This window comes from Homo sapiens, chromosome 1, assembly GCF_000001405.40.
Source record: "Homo sapiens chromosome 1, GRCh38.p14 Primary Assembly".
In the NCBI taxonomy this organism is placed as follows: Eukaryota; Metazoa; Chordata; class Mammalia; order Primates; family Hominidae; genus Homo; species Homo sapiens.
The window spans coordinates 63,837,487-63,843,867 of NC_000001.11; the positions used below are offsets into that span (position 1 = coordinate 63,837,487).

At 39.7% G+C, this 6,381-nt stretch overlaps 1 protein-coding gene and 1 pseudogene across 2 annotated transcripts in view; one reads left to right on the forward strand and one right to left on the reverse strand.

Annotated features, from left to right (window-relative positions):
- Positions 1-6,381, forward strand: part of ROR1 (receptor tyrosine kinase like orphan receptor 1) — a 407,482-nt gene that overhangs the window by 63,470 nt on the left and 337,631 nt on the right. The gene's annotated exons all lie outside the window — the stretch shown is intronic.
- CFL1P3 (cofilin 1 pseudogene 3) lies at positions 5,205-6,281 on the reverse strand (annotated as a pseudogene).

Consider the following 6,381-nt stretch of genomic DNA (forward strand, 5'->3'; position numbering starts at 1 on the left):
TTTGACAAAATTAAATTTGGATAACCTTTTCTGAAAAGCAATTTCAGTGTGTCATATTGACATTTATATTGATAATTAATTGTTTGTGGCTGTCAAAAGAAAGTGTGTATCTTTGCTTGAGGCCAGGAGTTCCAGACCAGCTTGGCCAACATAGTGAGACGTTGTTTCTACAAACAATACAACAATTAGCTGGACACGGTGGCGTGTTCCTGTAGTCCCAGCTACTTGGGAGGCTGGAGTAGGAGGATCAGTTGAGCCCAGGAGGTTGAGGCTGCAGTGAACCGTGATTGTGCCACTGCACTTTAGCCTGGGTGACAGAAACGAGATTCCGTCTCTTAAAAAATAAGTATGTATGTAATTGTGTATGAGCTAAGTTACTCTTCCTGTCACATTTGTATGGTAGCTACAGTCAGGCACTGCATAATCATCTTTCAGTCAGCGTTAGAACTGCATATAAATGGTGGTCCAATAGGGTTATAATGGAGCTGAAAAACTCCTAGAGAGGCTGTAGTTATTGTAATGTTGTAGTACAGTGTATTACTCATGTGTTTGTGGTGATGCTGGTGTAAACAAACCTGCCCTGCCAGTCCTGTAAAACTATGGCACCTCCAGTTATATGCAGTATACCTAATTGTATAATGATAATAGTAAGTATATTTGTGATAATAGTAAGTATACTTGATAATAGTAATAAACAACTATGTTAGTGGTCTACGTATTTACTATACTTTTTATTATTATTATTTTAGAGTGTACTGCTTTTGCTTCTAAAATAAAACATTATCTGTAAAACAGCCTCCTGAAGGACCTGAAGGCAGGTCCTTCAGGAGGTATTTCAGAAGAAGGCATTGTTATCATAGCAGATGACAGCTCCATGCCTGTTATTGCCCCTTGAAGAGCTTCCAGGGGACAAGATGTGGAGGTGGAAGACAGTGATATTGATGATCCTGACCCTGTGTAGGCCTAGGCTAATGTGTGTGTTTGTGTCTTAATTTTTAACTTAAAAATGTTTAAATAGAAAAAAGCTTATGGAATAAGGATATAAAGAAAATATTTTTGTACAGCTATACAATGTGTTTATGTTTTAAGCTAAGCATTATTACAAAAGAGTCCAGAGTTAAAAAAATAAAAAGTTTATAAAATAAAAAAGTTACAGTAAGCTGTCCAATTTCTATTGAAGAAAGAAAATACTTTATAAATCTAGTGTAGCCTAGGGGTACAGTGTTTATAAAGCCTACAGTAGTGTATAGTAATGTCCTAGGCTTTCACTTTCACTCACACTGATTCACCCAGAACAACTTCTAATTCCTGCAAGCTCCATTCATGATAAGTGCTCTCTACAGGTGTAACATTTTTAATCTTTTATACTGTATTTTTACTGCATCTTTTATATGTTTAGGTATGTTTAGCTATACAGATACCATTGTGTGACAGTCGCCTACAGTATTCAGTATGGTAACATGCTGTACAAGTTTGTAGCCTAGGAGCAATAGGCCATATCATAAAGCCTAGGTGTGTAGTAGGCTATACCATCTAAGTTTGTGTAAGTACGCTCTGTGATGTTCACATGACAACAAGCATATCAACTAAGAATGCTTTTCTCAGAACATATCTGTTGTTAAGTGACGCATGGCTGTAATTCATGCATTAATTGGTTACTTGTACCCTCTGTTTAGGGCTTCAAAAGTCAGATCTGTCCATCTAAGATGCTTTTAAGTAACATTTACCTTAAAGAAATAGATGGTTGATTGGTTTAAAGAAAGAGACAGCTGAATTGGACGGGGAAGCCAGATTTTGACCATATTTCTAAGAGGAGCTGTTCTGTAATGTTTTGGTAAAAGAATGTCTGTCTCCATATCATCTATCTATCTATCTATCTATCTATCTATCTATCTATCTATCTATCTATCTATCTAATTTGGCATCTATTTATCCATTAATCTGTCTGTAATACAAATATTCCAAACATTTAAAAAGTATAAGAAGGCTCTGTAGTGCAATGGATAGCACATTGAACTTTTTTTTTGTTTTTATATTGGCTTATTGCAATTAAAAAAGGTGCAAATAATATATGTACCAAAGAAAATTCAGAAAATAAAGAAACACTGAGAAAGTGAAAGACTAGGGCTCATATTATAAACACACAAAAAATCACTTTTAATATTTTGGGTACATTTCCTTGCAGGCTTTTTTGCCCTATGCATACATTTTTATCCATAAATGTAATCATCTTGTCTATGTTATTTTGTAGCAAGCTTTTTTTTCACTTAATACATAATACTATTTTTTCCAAGTCTTTATAGATATTGTTTTTCTTTTCTTTTATTTCTTTTATTTAGCCATCACTCAGTGATTGGATATTTAGGGTATTTCATCATTATTTTCTTTGAAAATTAAATAAAACAAAATTTGATGAAAATCCAAGGTGGCCCAACACAGTGGCTGAATATATCTCATCAGTCTGTTACATTATTCTCATGGAAATGGAAAAACAACCCCCAAAACTCTGCATCTGAGAGGAGTATATATTAAGCTTAAGGAAGTGCTTATGAACAGTAGGAAATGAGAGTTGGTAAATGGAGTCATTTTATTTCATAAAGGTGCCTCAGAGCTTTAAGCCCAAAGCCCTACACTTTGAGTCACTTTGGATTTTGTGCATCCATCCATGATGCACTGTGATTTTGTCTTACACTGTGTTTGGTATGAAGCATTAAATCTTCCTCCCTTTACAGTTTTCAGAATCTGTGAAATAGGACCTGAGCTAACCTAGAAAAGTCTCTCTGCTTGTCGTTTAGTTTTTTTTTTTTTTTGAGATGGAGTTTCACTCTTGTTGCCCAGGCTGGGGTGCAATGGTGCGATCTCGGCTCACTGCAACCTCTGCCTCCGGGGTTCGAGTGAGTCTCCTGCCTCAGCCTCCTGAGTAGCTGGGACTACAGGTACACGCCACCACGCCTAGCTAATTTTTTTGTATTTTTAGTAGAGACAGGGTTTCACCGTGTTGGCCAGGCTGGTCTCGAACTCTTGACCTCAGGTGATCTGCCCGCCTTGGCATCCCAAAGTGCTGGGATTACAGGTGTGAGCCACTGCACCTGGCCTTGTTTAGATATTTTAAAATAATCTTCCAATTCTGAGTAAATAGTATTTGTATAATAGTTGTGAGTTGAAGGCAAATAGTTTCAAAGAGTTCAGTTCTTTTGTCTTCAACATATAAGTCATAAAAATGCATGATTCTCCCTGAGGAGCCAGCTTGGCATCAGACTCTGGAGCCAGACAGACTGGGTTTATTTCCTGCCCCACCACTTTCTGCTGGGTGAACCGGAGTAAGTTACTTGACTTGTCTAGGTGTCAGTTTTCTCATCTAGAAAATGGGAATAATACTATTCATTCATAGGTTTGTTGGGCTGGTTTAAATAAGTTAAAACACAGTGTTAACTACTACTGTTTTCAACAGGTTCCTAAGGGTCTGTGTTTCTAGCGCTTTAGCACTTCAATGGCATTTATAATGTTCTGCATTATCTCTAACTGAGTGGTTTTTCTATGAGTATTTCTATGAGTATTTCTTCCCCAACTAGTTTATCATGATGGTTATAATACTGGCCACCATTTTTGATGGAGTATTATAATACATACTCTACATGTATTACAAAATGTACGTCTCATTGCCATTTATGAGGTATGCATTTTCACTGTTTTCTTTTTACAAGTTTAGTAACTAAAGGTTGTAGAGGTTAAGTAACTTGCTCAAGGTCATAAAATTGCTAAATGTGGAACTTGGAACTAAATTCCGGTCTGGTGTATGTGCCACCACCCTGCTTTTGTAAATTCCTTTAAGGAAGGGACTTTTGTGCTTTTTAGATCCCTTACAGATTTCAGCACTGTTCCTTAAACATAGTAGGTCCTCAGTAAGTTTTTTGTTATGTTGAATGAATGAAGGTAGGAGTGATCCTGTGGATAATAGAACTTTTTTCTCCAATAAGAAAACCAACAATATTGCTTTTTAATGACATGATATTATGAGTCTTAGAATTCTGTTCTGCTTCCATGTTACATGTAAGAGTTTGTAATTATTTGTGTATGAAACTGGTTGTATTTCATGTGAAACAAAAGTACATACCCTGTATTTGAGACTCTGATTTGAGAAAACCTGGATTAGCATTACACAAGTAACCATTGAAGCAATTTTAATTTAAATAAAGGATACAACTAATTCTGGATCTGTTTTTAGCCATTTATTTAACAGACATTTATTGAGCATATACATTGTGCAAAGCCCTCTGCAGGGGACTAAGGGTTTAAGGATGAATATGATGGTTTCTGTATGAAAGAGGATTTTATCCAATATCATGGGTTTACCTATGCCCTGATGCTAATGACCCCTATATATCTTTAATCCAACTCTTCTCCTTTTGCCTTCATTATTCAGCTCTATGTTGGATACTTCCACATGGATGTCTCATAGGCCTCCAAACTGAATTTATTATCTCATCCCCAGCACCCACTATGCCTCATTATATATTACATTCTTGTACCTGTTATATATTTCACCTCTGTTGGTGACACCACTGTCTAAAGTAACCATTCAAACCACTGTCCAAACTTCAACCTTCAAACAAACAAACAAACAAAAAAACCAGAAGTAATATTTGATTCCTTTTTTCTCCCTAACATTCTACATTTGGCCATTCACCAATCCTACTGATTTTTTTCCCCTAAATATCATCAAGAACTGTGAAGGATTTGAGACTTTATCTTACTTGCAAATGAACTTGCCTGCCACAGTTCCATAGATGCTGGCAGAAGGATTCGTGGGTTAGAGACAAAGAAATTTATTAGTCATAGCAATAGCAATAGCCAGAGTATCAACATATTTATTCACTGTTTCTCCAAGACCCAACTCCCATAGGATGTCATGAAGAGGGCCAGGTGACATCCATACATGAAGTGCATTGCGTTACAGGAGAGAAACTCTGAACTTAGGGAACCCAAATCTTTTATATTGGGCAACAAAGATGCTTCACCTTTGCTCCAGAGGGAGATCATTTCTTCCAAGGCTGCTCTCCACATAAACATCTTTGAAAAGTTAGTCTGGAACCAAGGGCAGCCAGTGCTTTGCTCACAAGATGTGCAGAAACGGAAGGGACTCATGGAGAATGTCTCCCAACAAATATATCTTGCATCTGTTCCCTTTGCTCCTTCTTTTTTTTTTTAATCGAAAGTGCCTTACTGGTCCTGCTTCCATGAGTAGCAGTGACCAGGGGAAAAGGGAGAGGAACCAGCCAGCACAGGGAGGGGTCATCTCCACAACATTCCATTTATACACAGAACTGAACAGCAAGCATAGAGTCACTATTGTGGTTAGAAGTTGGCAGCATGGGAAGGGGGAGGAACAGGTTGGATGTGGGGGTGTTGTTAAAAATATAGGCCCCTCTCCACAACTGGGGTGCCTGGGGGGAATTTGGTTTGCTTCAACCCAAGAGGAATAAGAAGATCAAAAGCAGTTTGGCAAGACCAGAACCGTCAGGGATGGAGGGAGGAGGAAAATCCAGGGAGTGGGGGGATCTGTTTGGCAACTGGAGTGAAGGGATTGCCCTCCCCCTGCTGGGATCCCCCCAGCCCCTCTGGTCTGGGAGGAAGGGGACGGCCTGCAACCCCCGAGGGCAGATGTGGGGCTGCCAGATGCTCCAGGCAGGTGGCCAGAACCGGCTCACAAAGGCTTGTCCTCTAGGGAGATGACCGCACTGCCCCCCAGCTTCTCTGCCAGGGTGCAGCGGTCCTTGACCTCCTTGTAGCAGTTTGTGTGTAATTCATGCTTGATCCCTGTCAGCTTCTTGACGGCGTCCTTGGAGCTGGCATAGATCATTTTGCTTTTAAGGGGAGCAGACTCAGGGACCCAGAAGATAAACACCAGGTCCTCCTCCTTGCTCTCCTTGGTCTCGTAGGTTGTGTCACAGAGGGTGTAGTGGCAGTCCTTATCTGGCAGCATCCTGACAAAGGTGGTGTAGGGGTCGTCGATGGTCTGGCTCACATCGCCCACCAGGATCTTCTTGGTCTCCTCCAGGATGATGTTCTTCTTGTCCTCACTAAGGCAGAAGAGCACCACCTTCTTGAGCTTCTTCACCTCCTCTGGCATTGAAGACTTATGCAACTTCATGTCGTTGAACATGTTCATGACACCATCAGACAGCCACACCAGAGGCCATGTTTCCAGAAGTGAAAAGGAGAGGGCATGGAGAGCCGCAGAAGACAAGAGCACTGCAGCCGCTGCTGGGACCCGACTGCACTCTGTTCCTTCTTTGCACCATTAGATCAGGCTGCACATTGCTCATAGGAAGATTGCAACAACTTTTTAGCTGATTTCCCTAACTCTGGGTGGGTCCCTCT